General features: G+C 41.3%; 1 protein-coding gene across 10 annotated transcripts in view, besides 7 other annotated features; it reads right to left on the bottom strand.

The window, feature by feature from the left end:
• The window catches only part of TNFRSF19 (TNF receptor superfamily member 19), a 105,682-nt gene extending 88,277 nt beyond the window's left edge, over positions 1 to 17,405 (bottom strand). For 3 of the 10 annotated variants that reach the window (NM_148957.4, XM_005266446.3, NM_001204459.2), the window contains exon 1: positions 16,969 to 17,405. The gene's annotated coding sequence lies outside the window, so the exon portion shown is untranslated. Of the gene's footprint in view, positions 1 to 2,271; positions 2,362 to 8,287; positions 8,458 to 16,968 lie in introns of those variants that run through there. The other 7 variants (NM_001204458.3, NM_001354985.2, NM_018647.5 and 4 more) reach the window with 3 other exon arrangements.
• Positions 373 to 542: an enhancer, noted in NCBI's record as "experimental_32745 CRE fragment used in MPRA reporter constructs". NCBI's record gives its function as "activates a minimal promoter by MPRAs in K562 erythroleukemia cells, with activity observed for both the introgressed and non-introgressed 13:24161499 variant alleles {active_cell/tissue: K562}" and the evidence as "EXISTENCE:reporter gene assay evidence [ECO:0000049][PMID:34662402]".
• Positions 7,837 to 7,896: a silencer, noted in NCBI's record as "silent region_5175". NCBI's record gives its function as "represses an Ori minimal core promoter by ATAC-STARR-seq in GM12878 lymphoblastoid cells {active_cell/tissue: GM12878}" and the evidence as "EXISTENCE:reporter gene assay evidence [ECO:0000049][PMID:35858748]".
• Positions 8,097 to 8,576: a silencer, noted in NCBI's record as "silent region_5174". NCBI's record gives its function as "represses an Ori minimal core promoter by ATAC-STARR-seq in GM12878 lymphoblastoid cells {active_cell/tissue: GM12878}" and the evidence as "EXISTENCE:reporter gene assay evidence [ECO:0000049][PMID:35858748]".
• Positions 12,817 to 12,966: an enhancer, noted in NCBI's record as "active region_7459". NCBI's record gives its function as "activates an Ori minimal core promoter by ATAC-STARR-seq in GM12878 lymphoblastoid cells {active_cell/tissue: GM12878}" and the evidence as "EXISTENCE:reporter gene assay evidence [ECO:0000049][PMID:35858748]".
• Positions 13,437 to 13,606: an enhancer, noted in NCBI's record as "experimental_32734 CRE fragment used in MPRA reporter constructs". NCBI's record gives its function as "activates a minimal promoter by MPRAs in K562 erythroleukemia cells, with activity observed for both the introgressed and non-introgressed 13:24148435 variant alleles {active_cell/tissue: K562}" and the evidence as "EXISTENCE:reporter gene assay evidence [ECO:0000049][PMID:34662402]".
• Positions 18,970 to 19,481: an enhancer, noted in NCBI's record as "H3K4me1 hESC enhancer chr13:24142475-24142986 (GRCh37/hg19 assembly coordinates)". NCBI's record gives its function as "activates a minimal SCP1, AML or CMV promoter by ChIP-STARR-seq in naive H9 embryonic stem cells {active_cell/tissue: H9 hESC(naive)}" and the evidence as "EXISTENCE:reporter gene assay evidence [ECO:0000049][PMID:30033119]".
• Positions 19,482 to 19,994: an enhancer, noted in NCBI's record as "H3K4me1 hESC enhancer chr13:24141962-24142474 (GRCh37/hg19 assembly coordinates)". NCBI's record gives its function as "activates a minimal SCP1, AML or CMV promoter by ChIP-STARR-seq in naive H9 embryonic stem cells {active_cell/tissue: H9 hESC(naive)}" and the evidence as "EXISTENCE:reporter gene assay evidence [ECO:0000049][PMID:30033119]".

The raw sequence follows: 22,697 nt of genomic DNA, 5'->3' as shown, positions 1-22,697 counted from the left end.
TTTTCTCCTTTCTACCACACTCTAAAGTAGACATTTATCCCCATATAATGGAAGAGAAAACTGAAGGTCCAAGGAAACAAATACGAGAACCAGTGGAAATCAAATCCAATTCATGCCTGGCAACTCCATAACAGGGCTCCTCAGCATCCCGCCATGCTGACCTAGGGTTGTGTCCTAACCCATCACCAGCATCCAGTGACTCCTGCCATTCAGGACAGCATGGCTACCTCAACAAAACTGATGAGAGACACATAATGCAATAATACATTTAATCATGTATTTATTTATTCAACAAACATTGGTTAAACGGTCATTAGGTGCCTGAAAGGAGGCAGGACTAGGCTAGAAGACACTACAACTTGTTCCTTCAAGGGAGCTCACAGCTTGGCCAAGGTAGTGATCTCCAAAACACCTTTTGACATAGCCTGGCCTAGGAGTATTTTAGAAATAAACAATTTAGCTGGTGGAGGGTTATAAGTGTGACCTTGAATTTCCTGGAGTGGAATGAAATTCCTTAAGAAATTATTTGGCATTCAGAAAAAGAAGGAAAATTTAATGAAATAGCTTAAGCGTTTAAGTAATAATATTTAAAATAAAAATAAGGCAATCAAAAGGTTATTTATTAAAATTATTTTTAAATTCTGGACATTCAAGGTCTGGCCCAAAGATAGAAAAATGCTTTTATATGCTTCAGTGTTCTATTTACTTGGAGATGATTTAGCAAGCACAAGCCATACAAATAACTGAGATTATGTACCATGGGTCTGGATGCTGGGGTTTTTACCGTTTGCCAAAACCTCCAGTCTCCACAGCATCTGTAACAGTCTAGCATGCATTTCTTGGAGGACATGTACAGAGAAACTGTTTCTCTGTACATGTCCTCCACATAAGCACTAGGGAGAAGACTAATGATGCCTGGTTTACCGTATTCCACAAGCATGAAATGTCGGCCTCACTATCTGCTATTCAACAACAATACGCAGCTTGGCAGTATCAGGAGCATGCAAAGAAGAAGGGACACAAACCCCAAGTGCAGAGCGGGGAAACATGCTGTTCAGCTGCACACAGAGTGGCTGCTTCTCAAAGCTGCTCAGCCTGCTCATTTGAGTGAATGGTAACTAACACGGATGTGTCCTAATTGGCCTCCCTCTAACTAAGATAAATCCAATAGGTGTTATAATGCACACCCCTTGTGCCTTCTTGCCCAAAATCATGAACACCAGTGCTAGCGTGTCACCACGCCGAGACAGGGGAGCACTGCCGGGGAAGGGCAGCTCTGGGCTTCATCTCTGATTGGCTGGGCGGACCTCTGGATCTCAAACCACAGTGACTGCTTCCACCAGCAGGTCCCTCAACTGTCCCTTCCTCTACAATGCCTGCCCCCAGTCTGTCACAGGTCTTCTGGAATCCCCTTAAATCTGCATCAGCATCTCTTCTTTCTGCTTCCACAGCACCCTGGACTTCCACTCACTGCTATAATTACCTTGTTACTCCTCTCTCTTTCTAGCCTTTTTGTTGCATCTGGTCAGCATGTCTTTTCTTTTTTTTTTTTTTTTTTTGAGACGGAGTCTCGCTCTGTCACCCAGGCTGGAGTGCAGTAGTGTGATCTCAGCTCCCTGCAAGCTCCGCCTCCCAGGTTCACACCATTCTCCTACCTCAGCCTCCGGAGTAGCTGGGACTACAGGTGCCCGCCACTGCGCCCGGATAATTTTTTGTATTTTTAGTAGAGACGGGGTTTCGCCGTGGTCTCGATCTCCTGACCTTGTGATCCGCCCGCCTCGGCCTCTCAAAGTGCTGGGATTACAGGCGTGAGCCACCGCGCCCGGCTACATTTATTTTCTTTAGTCACTGCAGCACTTAAATCTTTAAAATTTGCTTTCAGTATTAAAAATGAAAAATGTTCTCGAAAAATTAGACAATCTGACGGCCCTGAGTCCCACATCAAAGCAATATGAGCTAGAGCTAATGATCAGTTGTCCCTTACACGGAAGGACATATCTTTAGTGCACTAGTCTCCACCACTCCCCACTGTCACACTGGGCTCCCTTCCCTCATTTTATCACCAACCCAGCCACTGGAGTTGACCACCAATCAAATAAGATTTGAGGGCTTAATGACAAGAGCTGTGATTTCACTATAGAACTGTAACTCACAATATGTGCCCAATGCATGCTAAATGAAGAGAGAAATTCATTAACTAGGGATAACAGTTTACTTCTCAGAGTTCTAAGGGATAAAATAGTATATGTGAAAAATATGAGCAAATATAACCTGAGGTTGAAATGCAAGTCACTGTGGTAGCACAAATCCAGGTCAGAACCCCATTTCTTGAAGGTAGTGCTCTAATACAGACAAGAATCACTAAGGAGGAAGAATGGTGATAATTAGAAAGAAAATTATATTATAATCAGTAACCTTTCTGAGAATCATTTATATTTTTGATGGTGTAAATGACGAAAACATATGTGCTTTGTAATAATTCTAATAATCTGGATACTCTTTTTTTCAGAATAAATTATTTAATTTTGTTTTTTTCCTATCTCTTGAAAGCTATTTATTATCCAACAGATGCAGTGCATGCAATTGGTAACAGTTTTCATCAAAAAAACTGTATTCACACTATGTAATGAAACTATATTCAACCCATACATTTTTCTAATATGTAATAAGATGAAACATTTTTAAAATGTTGATATTCAACTGGCAGTTTTACAATTTATAAATCAGCACTGAAATAAAGCCAATGCTATAAATACAGCCTTTGACATTTTAATGGCACAACATAATCACGAATGACTTAGAAATACTGCCAGTCCCACATGCAAAGAGAATAAAACATTAATTAGAAATTTAGAGTAATGCTATTTCCAAACAAAACAATAACCCCCGGCTTCTAGCTATTCTGTATCTTAGCTTTCAATCTCACTATATTCTGAAAATCATTCTTCTTACATAGTAGAGTTGGCAGATCTCTTTGTAGCCTAGGAACTCACAAAGGTGTGCTAAGAATATACGTATTGTTATTGGCTGGAAAATGAGAATGGTTTCTCTTTTTCAAATTACAAGGTATTTTCTACTAAAAACCCTAAAAACTTAAAAATTTTCTGCTGCCAAATACAGTATCTCCAATTCTCCCAAAGTTCAAAACAGTAAGGGCCTCTATTAGGCTGCTTTTTTTTTTTTTTTTTTAAATAAAACTTAACCTAGATCCAGCAATCCCACTACTGGGTATCTACCCAGGAGAAAAGAAGTCATTATACAAAAGAGATACTTGCACACACATTTTTATAGCAGCACAATTCGTAGTTGCAAAAATATGTAACCAGCCCAAATGCCCATAAATCAGTGAGTGGCTAAAAAAACTGTGGTATATATATATGATGGAATACTACTCATCCATAAAAAGGAATGAATCAATGGCATTCACAGCAACCTGGATGGGTTTGGAGACTGTTATTCGAAGTGAAGTAACTCAGGAATGGAAAACCAAACATTGTATGTTCTTACTCATAACTGGGAGCTAAGCTATGAGGATGCAAAGGCATAAAAATGATACAATGGACTTTGGGGACTTGGGGGAAAAGGGTGGAAGGGGGTGAGGGATAAAAGGCTACAAATCGGGTTCAGTGTATACTGCTCAGGGGATGGGTGCACCAAAATCTCACAAATCACCACTGAAGAACTCATGCAACCAAATACCACCTGTTCCCCAAAACCCTATGGAAATAAAGAAAAAATAGATAAATAAAAATAAAAACAACAACAACAAAAAATAACCTAGTGCAGGGTTTTCTGAGACTAATTCTTTTTATTTCTCTAAGTTGTACATTTTATCATCTTTGCATTAGGAAAATCACTGTCAGAATTCTCAAAATGTTCAGTCAACAAGCATACTGTAACTAATGTGTTTTTCCCAAAATTCATGAATGTTTCTCTACCCTGAAATGCAAATGGAACAATGGTAGCATCAGGGACTAAGGGGACCTCAAACATCTACACAGTCTTTCTTACAAGAATTGTGCATACCCATCTCTCAAACACAGCTGTTTAAATTTTTATTTTAGAAGGAAGTCTGGATACATTCCAAAACCACTCTTTACACCATTTGTAGTGTTCTTCTCCAGTGTAAGTAGCCCCTATTATTTCCCAGTTTCCACATATGTGACCAATCCAAGCTGACCAAAGAGCTGCTAAATAACACTCAGTCTTCAGACACACAAGTTCCTTTGTCTTCTGTAATTGCTGATGGGTAGTTGTTCTCTTTTTAAAACCCAGGTTTTAAAACTTCAGTTTAAAAGGTAAATAAAGGTACATATTATGTGACATGTGGACTAGAAGATAACCCAATACTGTTTAAACATCTTACTTTTAAATGTAAACATTTTAGACACATAAAATACCAAGAACTCACTACTCAATCACTAAATCATGAAAAAAAATTATGTTCATACCCACTTTAATTTTCTTTTTCTTCACCTAGAGGGTTACTTTATCATTTTTTTTTGGTCCAACATTTTTAGCCACTGGAGTGATGAAAATTAAATCCACAATGAACTATTATGGCCTACTTATTTGAATGTCTAAAATACAACATCTGGTCACACCATTGTTGGTGAAGATTTGGAGAATTCGAACTCCCATACACTGTTACTAGAAATGAAAGTGTAACAAACACTTTGGAAAACAATTTGGACATTTCTTAAAATGTTAAGCACACACCTTTAATAACACCTAGATATTCTTCTCCCAATATTTTGGAAAGTAAACTTTCATACAAAAAGTTGCACATGAATGTTCATAGCAGTTTTATATATAATAGCTAAAAACTGAAAACAACCATGTGTCCATAAACAAGTCAAGAAATAAACAAGTTATGGTGCATGCAATGGAATACTAGTGAGCAATAAAAATGATTTAACTTTTGATACCTGTAATAATGTGGATGAAACTCAAAATAATTATTGTGAGTGAAAGAAGCCAGACCCCTCCTCCCAGAATGACATACTATACGATTACATTTATATGAAATTCTAGAAAATGCGAACTAATACATAATGACAAAGCAGATCAGAGGTTGTCAGGGGCTTGAAGAGGGCAAGGAAATATGGAAGAAAGGGATTACAACGAGTTGTAAGGAAACTTTTGGGTGTGTTTTATGTGTTCACCATCAGGATTGTGTTGGCAGTTTCACAGTATGTCAAAACTTACCTAATTATAAATTTAAATATATGCCACTTACTATATGCGAATCAATCTCACTAAGGGTGTTAGTTTTGTTGAATTTCAGTTGACATGTAATAATTGTAATATTTATCGGAGACAGTGATATTTTAATATATGTATACAATGTGTAATGATCAAATCGGGGTAATTCACATATGCATTATCCCAAATCTTTATTATTATTTTTTTTTTTGAGACGGAGTCTCGCACTGTTGCCCAGGCTGGAGTGCAGTGGCACGATCTCAGCTCACTGCAAGCTCCGCCTCCCGGGTTCACGCCATTCTCCTGCCTCAGCCTCCCGAGTAGCTGGGACTACAGGCGCCCGCCACCACGCCCGGCTAATTTTTTTTTTTTTTTTTTTTTTTTTTTGTATTTGTAGTAGGGACGGGGTTTCACCATGTTAGCCAGGATGGTCTTGATCTCCTGACCACCTGATCCGCCCGCCTCGGCCTCCCAAAGTGCTGGGATTACAGGCGTGAGCCACCGTGCCCGGCCAAGCCTGTGAATATTTAATAATCAGCTGCCACAGGACAAATATATTTAACCGTTTAACTGTTCCCTGGCTCTCTTATCACATAGGCAGCTATCAATGTATTTATTGGGAGTGTGTTTTATTCAAGTGGGCATTCCTATTCAATCTGTAGTCAACACAAATAGAACATGTTGGCCTTTTTCAGACTTTTTAATGCTTGATTTTAAATATTGATGCATCAGTTTTAAAAGGGCTTTGGCTTTTTTCACCTACTAAAGATGCCTGGAGTTTTTGTTTGAATCGTGTTAATTTTTCAGGGGTAGAATTGGCCACAGGGGATTGAGTTAAGCACAGGTTCAGAGATTGCAATAGGTGAAAAAAGAGACTCAAATTCTTTTTATGAATGTTAGCAGAATTCCTTACTTATGTTTAAAAAGTCCCCAATATGCCCTAAATTCATGTAACAGAGCTGTAACTAGGAAATTAATATATTAAGGACAGCATATGACATTACATGTCGCAATCCATTTTCCATTATAAAATATATGTAAAAAGCCTATTATCATCTGAAGTTAAAAAAAAAAGTTCTGTCCCTTTAAAAAATCTCTTTTACAGCTACTTTTACATGTGAGCAATGTTCCTTATTCAGTCTTCTGGATAGAAAAGGCACATCGACGGCCGGGCGCGGTGGCTCAGGCCTGTAATCCCAGCACTTTGGGAGGTCGAGGCAGGCGGATCACGCGGTCAGGAGATTGAGACCATCCTGGCTAACACGGTGAAACCCTGTCTCTACTAAAAATACAAAAAAATTAGCCGGGTGTGGTGGCGGGCGCCTGTAGTCCCAGCTACTCGGGAGGCTGAGGCAGGAGAATGGCGTGAACCCGGGAAGTGGAGCTTGCAGTGCGCAGAGCGGGAGCTTGCAGTGCGCAGAGCGCCACTGCACTCCAGCCTGGGTGACAGAGCGAGACTCCGTTTCAAAAAAAAAAAAAGAAAAGAAAAAAAGAAAAGGCACATCGACATTGCAATTTCCAGTGCATAATGCTCTTCATGTGTCCATAACTGCATATTCAAGATCCAGCCTGGACTCAGAGTTGCAAGACACACTCCGGCCAAAGAAACAAATAACTTTTATGATTGCTCTGAAAATACTAACACCACCTCTCAGAGTTAGCACTTACTATGGAAAAAAGTTTCCTAAAGTCAGTAAAGCCATGTGGCTTTGGTAATAAAGTAGATATGGTAAGACATTTTCATAGATTAAAAAGTAAAGAACAGAGCTCATGATAATGCTTCATGCATTGATGCCAAGGCTATATTGTGCAAATGAAAATGCATTTCTATGTTTTGTTTTACTTTCAGAACAATTTGATAAGTGTTATGCAAAGAAGCTTTCTTTTTAAGTACTCACATCTCTGTGAATGTCAAAAATTGTCTTCCACACTAGGACTCAATTCTCACCCCTCCAGTTCTATACCTTTCAATTAGATAATAAGCACTGCCTGGAATTTTTAAGACTACATGAAAGCAGTGTTGGCAAAAACGCCTAAGGTGAAACTGCACCACAGAAAAGGTACTGAGTAAATCCTGAAGTAACGCAATGTAATCCTCCCTTTTGCATCTAATATCTGATCATGAAATGACAACACTAAGAAATATCGTTTGCATGAGGTATGTTTAACAATAACTGTTTCCTGTTTACATAAAGAAATTGTTTGGTTTTGTAGTCAAAGAAACTGTCATGGGGTAAAAACTACGTCTTCATACATATCTTGGGTTAAACTGTTTCAGTTAAAAGAAACACTGAACAATGGTGATGATTTTGTATGCATATTGAGTCCTTTATTAACATGCAAACAAATGACATGGGTTTCTTACAATAGTGAACGGAGACTGGATGACTAGTGCACTACCATCAAAACAGATCACAGAATTTTGATCCGCCAAACTTGATCTCCAGGAGTATATTAGCCAAATTTCTGTCCCATGAGATGGCATTACACGCATTGTAAGAGCTGGCTTTCTCACTCTCTAAATCTATCACAGGCTCTACTCATCAATATACTAATAATTCCTGCTGAACTCTAAGGAACTCTTTCCCACAGAAGGAATATACCCTGGGCCGCTCACAGACAACGCTCTCCCGCCGCTGGCGCTGGTCCGGGATGCGGCCCCGAGACCCCTGCAGCCGCGCGCTGGCTCAGGGGACCTCCGCAGGACGCGGGCGGGCGCCGGGGCCGGGTCGGGCTTGGGCAGAGTGACAGGCTCCCAGTCGTGAGCCTCACAAGCAGATCTATTTACAATATCCCGGATAGGAGTCCAGGTCGCGTCGCTCGCGTCGCCCGCGGGGACCCGGCGTGAATTCACACGCTCCCCTCCCACCGCCTCGCCGCCTGTCACGGCCCCGAGACCCGGTCAGCCCCTTCGGGGGTTCCCTTCGCCGCGCAGTACTCCGCCCGTGAGCAGCCCCCGCCTGCGCTCCTCCCTCCCTAGGGCGGCCGCCTCCACTCCCGGCTCCCACCCAGCGGGGATCCACCAGGGCGAGGGCTGAAGACCTCGCGGGACGCCGCGCGCCGGGGACAGCGACGCACCTACCTTCCCAGCCACCTGGGAGGCTGCAGGTCCGGGCCGGAGCCCGAGGCTCAGGGGCGCGCGGAGCAGTCCTGGTTAAGGCGCAGGGCGCGGGGTTGCATGGGGGTCCAGTCCAGCGTGCACACCGTGCACCTCCCAGCGCAGGGCTCCGCGCTCTCCCGTAGCCCGGCAACGGCCGCCACCCCAGAGCCCCGCCCACTAGGAGCCCCGCTCAGGGCACCGCCCACCCGGGCCCCGCCCTCACCGCGGCTCTCGCCGTGGCTCCGCCCCCGTCCAGAGCCCCGCCCCCAGCGCACACTGCGTCAGCCGGACTTGCTCTGCAGCTGGGTTCTTTGGAGGCCCCCACTCCGCGGCTACTGAAGCGGATGAGTGTGAGGCTGACTGGGGGCTTGGGGATGGGGGACCGGAGACCACCAAGAACATGGCTGTGTTGGGAAACTTTCCTTCAGAGCAGAGAGGGAGGGTTCCTTTCCGCCGGGGTGTTCCCCACCTTTCAGCCTTTCCCGCGTGGGCCCGCATCCCAGCCAGAGGGGATACGGCGGCCAGGTCTGCGCTGCTGCGCCTGAGCTCAGGTCGGCAGAGGTCGCAGACCTCGGCTCCTCAGCCGGCAGGGACTCGCAGGTGCGCGTTCCCACGGACGCCTCCCGGGGAAGCCCGAGTTCGCCTCCTGCAGGCCGGGAAGCACTCGCCCCGAGACGGCCGCACCCTCGCAGCGGAAGGGCGTCTGCACCACAGCTGTAGCACCAGCGCGTGCGAGGCGGGGCCAGGGCCGGGGACTCACTGGGCAGTTTTGCTGAAAGGGTTAAGAGAATCGCGTCTGTAAAATACTTTTCCACCAGTAGAATGCTGTAAAAGTGCAAGCAGTATTGTTCTATTCGTTCACCCAAGATACGGTGCATGACTTTGGTACCAAGGCATCCACCGTTTCTCACGTGTTGGTTTTGACTTCCCACTCAACTGCACTGTGTGGATGGACCCAAGTCCCTGTTTCTTGTCTATACCCCAAGGCCCACTGGAGCCCCTCCATCAGTATTTGTTGAATGAATGAGTGAATAGGTTGTTGTATTTAATTGCCCAAAAGCACAGCTTGTGATCCCAGGCTTCCAACGGCGTAGCACTATACTAGGTACTTGTGAACAATGTTAAAAATATTATTCCCGATGTCACACCTTGATAGAGGTTGTATATTTCAAATCTAACACATCCAGAATATAGATCCCAATAACGACTTATTGGTAAACGATTTCCAAATGATGTACGTTATCTAATTTGAACCTCAAGGCAAGTGTGTGCTTCCCTGTCCCATCTCCCAGCGGCTACCCGATCAGACTCCAGCCCTCAGTGCACATCACTACCATATTCATTCCCACATCCCGCTGAACTTCTTTATCTGTTTCCTTCCCCAGCTACACCTGGATCTCCCGAGGGCATCTCCTAATTCCTTGATATCCCGGGGCCTAGCACACGATGGATACTCAGCACTTCTAAGCTGAGTTACTGCATCTTCCTTTGCAAGGTCTCACGCAGTCCCCCATCGTCCTCTCTTTGTCTTGGTGCCCACCACCTCCTTCACCACCATGCAGACCCTCCCCACCCCTCACCACAGCACTGCCTCGGTCATCAACCCCGCTTCCCGCCTTTCATCACTGCTACTGTCAGGCTGAAGAGTCACAGGAGGTTCCTCACTGTAAAGAATGGATTCTGCGCTCCTTAGATTAGCATTCCGAGATGTCCAGGTGCAGCCCTACACCTATTTCCAGCCTTGCCTCGCCTCTGGAGCAGGCTTTATAAACTGCGCCGCGTGGCCCTTCCTTTGCTCTCTACTTCCTCTTCGTGCTCTCCCATCTTACCTCTGAGCTTTACCTACTTGTCTTACTCCAGTTTCAGCACCTCGCTCAAAAGCCACGGCTCTCACGAGTTTTCCCTCAATTCTGAGCCTATGTATTTCCTTGCTCCAAGGTTTGTGGCAATTTAGCACTTGCCCATTGTGTCCTGTATCATAAGATTCTGTGTACTAACTTTCTTCTTCAAGGAGTTAAAAACACTTTCAGAGAAGGGGCATATTTTGTTCCGATTTGTATCTCTGACAGTATCAATCATTCAAATAAATGTTCAACCAAAGCTTTCTGAGTGGAATTGAATCTGCCAGCTCAGGAACTACCTTCTCTGACTTCAACCAAATGTTCTTCTTCTCTCTGACCTCCTTTTGTCCTTAGAGACAGTAGTAACACATTACTCAGTTCATTAGTTCTTGAATCATTTTACGTGTTTTGACTGATCTTCCCGGTTAGCCTGTTAGCTTACAACAGAGAGAGAACCTATTGTTAGCCTGAATGGGCTTGGGCATCTGACAATCTGGTCCCAATGCCAACCTGTCATTCAGTAGTTGCATGACTTTGGAAAAGTTACTTAACCTCTCTAAGTTTCTGGTTCTCCATATGTAAAATGAGTTGCTTCATTGATGGTTGGTAAGTATTAATAGATAAGGTATTTAAAGTGCTTAGGCCAATGCCTAGCACTTACTAAATAGCCATTCTTAGTAGCAATATATCCTCTTACAATGCCTAGCATCAATCAATAAATGATCATTGACGGTGAGAAAAAGGACATTGAACCTCTGGACTCCAGCTGTTAGATTCATCTAATTCTTTAAAGAGACTCATTAAGTTAAACACAGTTGGCCCTCCACATCCATGGATTTTACATCATGGCTTCAACCAACTGCAGATTGAAAATATTTGAAAAAAAATGAATGGTTGTGTCTGTACTGAACATGTACACTTTATTTTGTCATTATTCCCTAAACAATATGGTATAACAACTATGTACACAGCATTGACATTGTATTAGATATTATAAGTAATACAGAGATGATTCAGAGCATATGCAAATTTATACCATTTTTTGTAAGGGACTTGAGCATTTGCAGATTTTGGTATCCAAGAGGGTGTCCTGAAAGCAGTCCCCCTCAGATGCTGAGGGAACAAACACTATAGTTCCCACTTTCCCTCATTTGAGTGTTGTATGATTTGGAGACAGTGTCTGAACAAAAACTCAGGCACACAATTGAGCACCATAGTAGTATAAAAAGAGTTCTGTGGGCCGGGTGCAGTGGCTCACGCTTGTAATCCAGGCACTTTGGGAGGCCGAGGCAGGCGGATCACCTGAGGTCAGGAGTTTGAGACCAGCCTGGCTAACATGGCGAAACCTCGTCTCTGTAAAAATACAAAAATTAGCCAGGCATGGTGGCAGGTGCCTGTAATCCCAGCTACTAGGGAGGCTGAGGCAGGAGAATTATTTGAACCCGGGAGGCAGAGGTTGCAGTGAGCCAAAATCACGCCACTGCACTCCAGCCTGGGGGACAGAGCAAGACTCGGTCTCAAAAAAAAAAAAAAAGAATTCTGTGATCCTTAGGCTCATGCAAAATGAAACTGGATGCTTGTAATTAGGACTGGGAGCATTTTACTTCCTTTAAAACACTGCATATCATTAATGGGTTAAAATTTTTACTGGAAAAGCAAAATTGCTATGACAATCTTGATAGAGGTGTTTGTTTTTAAGATTTATGTTAAAAGTTAGTTTTCTGAAGATAGTTTTAGCAATATCTGAGCTGACACAAAGTGCATTTGTTTAAAATATTTTTCCCCAAAAGTTGAACTAAGGAAAACTTGAAAAACCCCTGAAAGAATAGTTTCAGTGATAAATTAGCTCGCTGGTAGCAAAGCTAATGAAAAATTGCCTAACTTCTAGTCATTTCTAGTGTAAATCACTATTCCTTGGGAAAAAAGTGGAATAGAATGCAAGCTACAGGAGAATATGAAATTTTGTCTCTTTGGTTTACAGTTTCTGGCACATAGTAAGTTCTCATTAAAAATTTGTTGGATGAATTAGTAATTGAGAGTGAGAATCTCAAAGAGTAATAAAGTTTTCCAAATACAGTTAAGAAAATAAGTGGAGGAGGAACCCCCAAGACCTAGCTATTTAAGTAATTCCCGATACCCACTACTGCCAATTATAGACTATCAGCATGGGGCTGAGGGAGCACCGTGAGGCCAATGCCCAGTGACTTCCTGAATGCTGCACACCAAGTTAATTAACAAAGCTGGAATCAGAATCTGGGCTTTCTGTATCTTAACATAATCTTCACCATACCATGGGTGCGTAAACCAATATATATGAAAAACCCAAGGAGGCTATTTTTATAGCCCCCTCCTGTAAGTGGAGCTCAAGACACTTACAGAGCAAAGTTGTTACAAGTTGCAGCACTTGCACTGATCTTTGTGAGTTTGGCCCTGAGTACCTCATTGGCTAGACCCTTTTCATGAGTTCGATGAGGGAAGAGACAGTCCATTGACTCTCCTTCTCTCCTTCCTGATGAACATGGTGGACTCCCCGACCTAGGGCTGGCTTGAGGCCAGGCTGGCTGGGCAGCAGCCCATGGTGCTAAGCTATAGAGCCACCAAAGAATGGGGGGCATTTAACAGGATGGAGAAAACTATCTTTATCAGAACTCCTCTCAAAGACAGTGGGTTATGTTGGAAGGAATGGTTTTATGAAGTCATTGGAAACCCCCACATGACTTCTCCTTCCCCTTCTCATCAAAGAGAAAATTTAAGTCACAAAGGAGGGTTTTAAACTACCTACTTAATCTAAAGAAGTGAGTATTGATTTTGGCAAGTGGGTGGGTTTGAGGTAACAACTTTGGAGCCAAAGCTGAATGACTAGTGACAGTAGAGGAGAAATTAAAGCACAGCCAACACAGCCACCAGGGAGCCTCCCTCTGCCCTCCCATCACAGAGCTCACCCAGGTGGACAACGTTTTAAAGAACCATCCTTTAAAGGGGACAAAATCACTCATTCTTCCAGGGTGGCTTGGACTGGCCTTGCCATCACAGAAAGAGAATCCGACTAAACCAATGCCAGATGGTTGAGTTCAGTTCACTCCTGAAGCAGAGGGAGAACAGATTATGCCTTCATGGCTTAGGGAGGTCCTTTATGGCCATCCTGACAGAAAATACTATTAAAAATGTCTAATAGTTCTTACAAAATATATAAAAGGAAAAAAAAAAACTGGAGCCCATATTTTTGGCCAAAATTTTGGCTATAATGTTTGCTGACAGTCAAGTTCAGCTTTGTGTAATTCTTAAAAAGAATGAATCACCTAGCCCCAGAACAAAAAAAATGTAGATCACAATGCTGCCACTGAATTATTCCTATAATCTTGCACATGTTATTTATCCTTGCACAAGTACTTGATATTGAATTAATTGATAATGAGTGAATTAATAAATATTAGGTCATGTTAGTAATAATCTTGTATATGTAGGAATCCTAAAGAGGGTGATAAGCCCTATTATGAGGGCAGTTGTTTGGCCATGAGAGTCCTGTATTTGTATAAAATTTTATTAGTAACTAAATTAAAATTTTTCACACAAGATATAGATAGATAGATTTTTTTTTTTTTTTTTTTTGAGACAGAGTCTCACTCTGTCACCCAGGCTGGAGTGCAGTGGCGCCATCTCGGCTCACTGAAAGCTCTGCCTCCCGGGTTCACACCATTTTTCTGCCTCAGCCTCCCAAGTAGCTGGGACTACAGGCGCCTGCCACCTTGTCCGGCTAATTTTTTGTATTTTTAGTAGAGATGGGGTTTCACCATGTTAGCCAGGATGGTCTCGATCTCCTGACCTCGTGATCCGTCTGCCTCGGCCTCCCAAAGTGCTGGGATTACAGGCGTGAGCCACCGCTCCTGGCCCCAAGATATATTTTTTCAAGGAAGAAAAGCAAAGAGATAATGAAAACATGCTCAAGAGTCTTAACATAATCAAACATGATATGAAACACATATCATATCATGTTTGAAATGCACATTGAGTTTGTCAACTGAAGTTTCACAGAATCCCACTGGGAATTTCCCTGGAGGAAAATTAACCTTTAATTATTAAACTGTTTTTGGATGCCACTGGCATCATCTAAGAAAATATCAATTCCTTCAAAACACACAAATATGTGTTGATATAATGCCAAACTCGTATGTACACACACACACAGAGGCAAACACACAAATACATATATAATTCCACATCACATTGATGCATTAAACTTTTTGTGAAAATTATTTTACGTGTTAAATTATGTTAAATTATGGGTAGCAGCTACTGTGTTTAGACAGCTTAGAAGTCCAGAAGTAGAAGGAACAGTTGGAAAATAATCAGACGAATCCAGCTGACTGACATATCTATCATGGAAACAAAAAAAAAATGCACTACAATAGGAAGTGGCTGTCTTTATTTTTCAAACTAATATTGTTCTTTGATGAGCTACAGAGTGCATTTGTTTAAGCAGTTGTTGGAAAGCAGACCCTGCATGGTAGACTGGAAAGAACATTGGACTAGAACTGGGAAAATCAGCCATGTGACCTTGTTAAGATAGGGACATTCGTTTTCTATAGCCTCAGTTTCCTCATCTGTAAAATGGCCATAAAAATTCCAATTCTGCTTATTTCATAAAGATGATGTGATCAACTCCCTCACTTCACACATGAGGAAACTCTCTTGAGGTCATATAGCTAATTGGTGACAGTATCAGGACTCAACATAAAAGTCTTTTGAAGACTTGGACTTTCTGTAGTAACAAAGCTGCCATTGAAGCAACAGATAGGAAAGTGCTTTGAAAAATGTCACATAAGGGTTTTGTTCAGTAGAAGTAATAGGACTATATCTGCCAAAGTCATTTTGTGGCAATTAATTAGGAAATGCCTTTTGAGACTGTACCTGTACCTTCAGATACAACCATCTTTATTTTAAAATCAAATACACTCTATTTCATTTCTCAACAATGACACTAGAAGTAAACAATTAACTGAATTAATTCAAACACTGAAGTGGATTTTCAAGGACTTGACTTGCCCAAGCTAGTTTTCTACAAAGCCTAAATTAATCAGATAATTGCTAATTCTCCCCTTTGTTTTGTGCTGAGGAGAGCCTGTATTTGTTAAAATGATCCTAGTAGCAGGATAAACAGTCATTTTAAAAATTTTAAAATCCAAATCTGAACTAAATGAGCAAGTTTCAGACACACTATTTCTTTAGGCACCATCTCCAGTCATTGTTTTAAAAGGCTAATTTTCTTTATCTGAATGTGAACATTAATACCACTTTTGTGATTAAAAGGAAGATTTTAAGCAAACAAATTAAAAAAAAATCAAACTAAACCGATATTGCAGGATATTGTGAACATGATTTGTTGTACTCTTAGAAAAAAAAAGCAAATGCCTCTCCTGGCATGACTAAAAACAGCAGTTAAATCTTTAAGATTAAGTTATTAATGACACACTTTAAAAATATAATCAGTTTAGCATGGCTTTAAATAACCTCCACTTAACAACTAGCAAAGTTTTAAAATTAAATAAACAATGCTAATTACCCTTCTAGTATCAAGAGGAAAGTGTAGAAAGTAATTTAATTAATTGGCTGTGAAAAATTAATTACTTATGAAATGAGACTCATTAGACCTTTCCTGTTTCATCAGAATTTCAGACTAAAGGATAACTGGTCTTATCACTTATGGTTTCTTTATGGTTCAGCTAGCATCAAATAGACTTGTGATAATAATTAAATATTTTGCCCAGATAAATTTAGGACTAGAACATTAAAAAAAAAAACATCGCGAACAAAGTAACAGTGTTACTTTTCCATTGTATTTAGTTTTTATATTTCACTGTAAAGATTTTACTGTGTGTGTGTGTGAGCGTGAGTGTGTGTGTATCATGAACTGACAAAAAAATAACAGTTAACTTTCAAATTCGGTACAGCAATATAATTTGGTTTTGTCATGTTGGGCATTAGCTAAAGTGAAAATGTGACTAAGATACTTTATGTAACATAATAACTGTTGATTACTCAGATAGTTTTCATAAACAGTTGGCAAATTTTGACTTAAAACAGCTGTCACTATAAATGTAAAGTAAATGTTAATTTAGGAATATTAACCTTGTGAATGTTTCTGTAAATAAGGCTTATGCTATTTCCAAAGGTTATAGAAAATCACTGGAGTATTTTTAGCCAAACTTAGTGCAACTTTATCCTCACTGTTTTTAAATTCTTCAGTTTTACACATAAAAGTCTTTAATCATACTTGATGGTTTTTCAGTGATTCCCTTGAGTGTACAAACTGCATAAGGAAGTGTATTTGATAGATTTACATCTTGGAAGTGAGAGAATAAATAAACTAAAGAAACAGTATTGCCAGAGATACATTTTACTCTTTTATATAAGAAAACAAAGAAAGCATTTTCAACAAGCAAAGTTGCACTGACTGTTTACTAAATAAGGTAACCTGTAAATACTTAGAGCAATTATAGCTCACAGATCTCAGGGGTTGAAGTACCAGTTGCATGCTAAAGTGAGCGCTGTTCTGTTTTGTCCTGTTTGTACAACTCATTTCCAAGTAAAATTTGTATGACAGACTGCAAACCCTCTTGTACAAACTACTAAAAATTACATCAAGTTCCATAGTTACTCTGATACACACATTCAGCATCATGTAGTATTCAGCTGTATAAATGCTTTCTAAAAAATTAATTAAAACCATTCTTTTCTCAGAACACATGCGAAAAATGCAGTGAAAGCTATAACAAAGCTTAAAACAGAGTACCTGCAACATGCTGAGCTCTTTGCAGTACTTACCCGTTCAGCAACTTAGTTTCTCCTGGCAGCACTTCTGTGCCAAATGCTTCTACCTTCCCAAAAATGTATGTCAGCACAAGCCCAGACGAAACTTCAAATCCAGGAAAATAAAATTAACCATGCAGATCAAAGGCAGACGAGCAGGGAGATGAAATGCCTGTAATCTGATCAGTGAATCAGTTGCTGAACATCAAAGGCAGGGCTGAGTTTATATATATGCATGGATATCAAAGAAAGTTCACTTTCAGCAGGTAGTTACCCTCCCACCTCCTAGTCCACAGACTCTTTTGTTAAACATGGATCACGTTGTTTTCCTCCTCTTTTTTGCAATGAGGCAATGCTGGTAGTTCTCCCATGCTTGGGCTGAGTGGCTGGATCTGTAGCTTTTTTGGTTCCCAAGCTGTGTTGTGGACTGTGTGTTGGAAGCTTTTCCTAGTGCCAGCGGGTTCTGCTTTATCCCTTTCATCTCGCTGAACTGCAGATCCCATGACATCATTCAGCGCCGTGGGACTGGTAGGAGAGCTATAATTCAGCCTGTGGGGGAGTATAGCTCAAGAGAAGCCAGAGTTTGGCTGATTTCTAATCATGTTAGACTATTGTGCCTCACACAGGACAGTTTCTGTTATCTGTCTGCCAGCTGGAAAGGACAGCAACTGCTGCTGGATGCTTCTTGGGTGATAAGATCCCTGATGGATGGACGTGCCAAATGACAGCATTTAATTGCCTCTTCGCTGATAAAAATCACAATTTCCTACAGAGACTGGGTGTCAAATATTCAGCATAGTTAAATAGCACTATGAGACCACTCTAAAAAACACCCAAGGACACTGCCAGATGGACCGATAACATTTTCACATTTTGATTCCAGTTTTCAAAGTGACAAGTCTTTAAGGATTTTAAGGAAACTGCCCTTTCTTTGAAACATACATTATTAGGATCTGATTACCAATCAAACCGGGTTGTGTTAAGTAGTTAAGCAGCAGATAACCAACAATTCATGAATAAACTGCCATCTTCCACTGGCTCACTTAAGACTTTGGGCGGAGACTTAATCTCAATCTTTGCCTTAGTTCGGGACTCTGGAAATTAGATTTTAAAGCAATATCTACTTCTTAGACATATTTCATTAATACTTGTTGAGCATTTTAAAATTCACAAAAGAAGAATTATGTAGAACAAAGCATTTGCCCTGTGATTATTCCAAAGCCATGTTATTTGCCTTTTAGGGCTGTTTCTTCCGAACTCATAGTTTGGACTTTCAACTCACTAAAAAATTACCACCTTAGCCTAATTCTTCGTATTTTAAAATTAAATATATTGCTCATTATTTAAAAATTTTAAGCTATTTTCCTTAACAATGTCAGATTCAATACAATATGATTATTTTATTTTGAGTATTTAGTAAAATAGAAGATAAGAAGAAGTTTCATCTTCCTTGAAATCCAGGATATGGTGCTTTTCTGATTTTCAGACAGTTCTTTCATGGAATGAAGACAATTTTTCTATTTTATAATGGAAACTCACTAACTTTTAGAAAGTAAGTTAAAAATATTTTTGCAAAACTTAGGGGATAGTAGAACTCAGTCTTTTTCAATGTAACTTCCCTCCTTAACTGGTTTTGTCTAATTTTTCCTGACGCGATATTTGAAAACGTTATTTATGAAGTGTTTATTTCCAGATTTCTATGATTCTTGAATAATTTTAATAGCAAAATATTTAGTTTGAACTGTTCATAAGTTCTGTATAACATTTAAATAGTCCTGTTGATTTTTCCATGTTTCTTGTATAATTTTTCTACTTATACATCATTTCTCAAAAATGCACAGGGCTCAAATAGTATTTGAACTGGCAGGTGTGATGCTTAAGGACTTCCTTAAAGCAGACCAGGAAAATTCCTGTGACATCTGGGCTTCACATACGTTTCCTGGGCATCTTGAACCCATGAATACAAAGAAAATATTTACAAAGACAAAATATTTACAAGAAGGCATGTGCCCATTTCTTTTCTGAGGTAGTCCAAACCTACCACCAGCATGGAATCCATATGCCAACAGCCTGCACTCAGGATTAAAGTTTCCCGATACACTGATATATTAAATCAGAGCAACTAGACACTCTGTAAGGCTCATTGGCTAAGCAAGTAGATTTTATGTCTTTATAGATTTCAACACCAGTAGAAATAGGTGAAGGACTGAATTCGGGTTCTTGTGTTCCACTGAAAAACATACAGGAGGCACTTGAAAGCAGGGACTTGAATGAAAACCAATCAAATGATCTTCAATTTATACAAATCTCCCCAAGCAAGCTTTGTAGTTCAAGATACATCCAACAATGCAATACCATCTCCAGTGGAAGAGTTTATTCACCAAGTCACTGGATATTATTTTGAATTGGTCCTCTTGTGGCCAAGAACTCCCCATATGTGAGATGAAAGGGGACTGAGGCTAGGGCCCCATCTGTCGCCTGGACCAGAGTGTGGCTAAAGGTCGGCCTGGCTGCAGGAGTGACCTCTTGACCTGCGGCTCATTTAGCACTGTGCCCAGCCAGCCGAGCCCCCTTCGTTGTGAGGTGTGGCCTGCACCATTGTTGTTTCTGAACAGCACCAGGAAGGGGAGCTACTACAAAGCTTTTCTCTTTCCCCTTCAAGAAGCTTAGATTAGTGTGATTAAATCAGTGTGATACAGTGGTGATAAGAGATCCAGCACTCCACTCGACATCATTGTCCGTTGTCATGACACCAAGTTACAGCATTTGATCAATGGTTCCTGTGCCATGTTGCAGTACACTTGGCTCATCTTAGTCTTTTTGTCAAGCTGCCTTTCAGCGACCTGGTTCTGCAAAGTGGTTGTGGCAGCCATTGGATCCACAGTGGGGAGCTCCAGGCTACACTTTAAAAGAAGTGGTCAGTGTTTGAGATGACGGGCATGCCAGTTACCCTGATCTGATCACTATACCTTATAGGTATAGAAATGTCACTAGGTGCCCAGGGATATGTATAATTATTATTAATCAGTTAAAAAATAAAATAAATGATTGAGAAAACTTCAGTTGTTCATATCCAAGAAGGGAGGGGCTGCCTGAGATTCCTGATGGGGAGTGGGGTCTCATGTCACCCCCAGTCGCCACCATGTGCTATTTTCTTCCCAAAACTTGGAGCGTGGTTCCTTTGCTCCTTTATCTTGACAGGTGGATGCCATGAATTCTCACCATTTTAAGATATAGATCAGGTGATAACACATTTTCCCCATAAAGTTTCATAGTTTTTTGAGTTGTCTGCATGTCTTTTCTAATGCCGTCTTTTCTAACTTTTCTGTTCAGAGGATATATCCTGGATTAGATCAGATAAACACAGATCTATTACATACATTGAGAGGAATAATTTCTGCATTTGTTTCAACTGAACACTTTTTAGAAAATGAAATAGCTCATGGTTATGAAAAGAACACGGATGCTGGAGTCAGAAAGGCCTATGTTCAAATCCCTCTTACTACCTGTACTTGAATAACAGCTTAGGCAGTGTGGACGAAGGCTACCTAGTCCCACTGAGCTTTTTAATCCTAAGCTGCAGGAAGGGGATAACACCTACCTCATTAGTGTTGCCAAAATAACAAACTTATTTCGAAAGCATCAGGCAGAATAAACCCTCAACAGAAGAGCTAAGGTTCCTTTCTTTTCTCTGTAACTATTAAAATGCCAACATTTTAGCTAGGGGATCCAATTCAAACTTCAGTATTCTAAAGGGGCAGGACAGGCTCTCACACAGCTCCTGGGCTGGTTATTCAAAGCCAAGGTAGCCCAGACATCCTCAGGTCCTTCACAATGCTGGGACCACTTGTACATGATCTGGGACCAGTAGCTGCTATCTGGGACTGTGGTCCACATAATCACAGAAAGAAAAAGGCTCAAGCCTGTTATGGGTTGGATTGTATCCCCCTAAATTCCCATGTTGATGTCTTGTCTCCCAGCACCTCAAAACATGAGCTTATCTGGAGATAGGGTCTTTACAGGGGTAATCAAGTTCAAATGTGGTCATTAGGGTGGGCCCCAACCCAGAATGACTGATGTCCCCATAAAAAGGGAGATTTAGATAAAGAGGCAGACACTCATATAGGTAGAACACTGTGTGGACATGAGGATGACCATCTACAAGCCAGGGTAAGAGGCCGGGAACAGACCTGTCCCTCACAGCCTCAGAAGGAACCAACCCTGCTGATACCTTGATCTCTGACTTCCAGCCCCCAGAACTGTGCGAGGACATACTGCTGCTGTTGAAGTCTGTGGTACTTTGTTATCACAGCCTCAAGAAACTAATACAAAGCCACTATCCAACAAACTACAAAGAGGTACAACTCCCATTTTCCTACATATTCTGAAGCCTTACATTCTCCTCATCAGCATCTGCCTCCTACAAAGCACCCCCAGCTCCAGTGGACACCCCCTGCCCTTCTGGACTCCCTCCGACCTCGTGAGCAGAAGACGCCTTCCTTTTCTTAAAGGGCCAGTTCAGGGGTACTGTTCAGTGAAGCTGAGTATGACTGAAAGTCACTAAAGGTAACTGGGATAGAACCCAGTTTCTGGCTACTGTAAATAAAGCTGCCATGAACACTTCATGAACCTGAAAGAGCCAATCCTTCCAAATGGATCCTGAGTGGCTAACTGGGTCTAAATTCAGAATGGAGCCAGGTCACAAACGTCTTCTGCATTCTCTGAGAAACCACAGGCTCGCGTGATTTGGGGACTTTCATGGCTGTCTGCTCCTATTTATGCTCCCTGATTTGATGGGTGCTGGGAAGTCTCATCTTGACTTCTGGATCTAACAAATAGACTTGTGACTTGCATTGACCAATCAAAACCAAACATACTTGCATCCCTCTCACTTGCAGAGCAGACCAGAGTGGGAATCTGGGTGGGAGCTTTTTCTATAAAGGATAACCTGTCTCTCTGTTCTCAGGGAGAGCATCTTTGTTTTGTACTGAAGGCTGGGTCTCCCTGGTTTGCAAACTGCTTACAGGAATAAAATCATTCTCTTTTTTAAGGAAGATCCTTTTCAGTGGATTTGTTGATAATACTTGTGTACAAGTCTTAGTGTGGATATATATTTTCATTTTTGTTAAGTAAATATGTAGGAGTAGAATTTCTGGATTATATGGTGTATGTATGTTTAACTTCAAAAGAAACTGCTGGCTGGGCGTGGTGGCTCATGCCTGTAATCCCAGCACTTTGGGAGGCCGAGGTGGGTGGATCACAAGGTCAGGAGATCAAGACCATCCTGGCTGGCACGGTGAAACCCCGTCTCTACTAAAAATACAAAAAATTAGCTAAGCGTGATGGCGGGTGCCTGTAGTCCCAGCTACTCGGGAGGCTGAGGCAGGAGAATGGCATGAACCCATGAGGCGGAGGTTGCAGTGAGCCGAGATTGCGCCACTGCACTCCGGCCTGGGCAACAGAGAGAGACTCCGTCTCAAAAAAAAAAAAAAAAAAAGAAACTGCCAAATTGTTGTCTCAAGTGTTTGTTCCAGTTTACATTCCTGTTGGCAATATAGGAGATTTCCATTTGCTCTACATCCTTGGCAAAACTTGATATTGTCAATTTTTGTCATTTCAGCTATTTAAATGCAGTCTAATAGTAGCTTATGATAGTTTAAATTTGCATTTTGTTGATGCTAGCACTCAATTTATATATAGAGAGACACTTTACTTTTTAGAACAGTTTTAGATTGACAGAAAGA

The sequence above is a fragment of the Homo sapiens genome, chromosome 13 (genome assembly GCF_000001405.40).
Source record: "Homo sapiens chromosome 13, GRCh38.p14 Primary Assembly".
Taxonomy (NCBI): Eukaryota; Metazoa; Chordata; class Mammalia; order Primates; family Hominidae; genus Homo; species Homo sapiens.
Note: the sequence above shows the minus strand (reverse complement) of the source record. Positions and strands in the feature narration are given on the sequence as shown.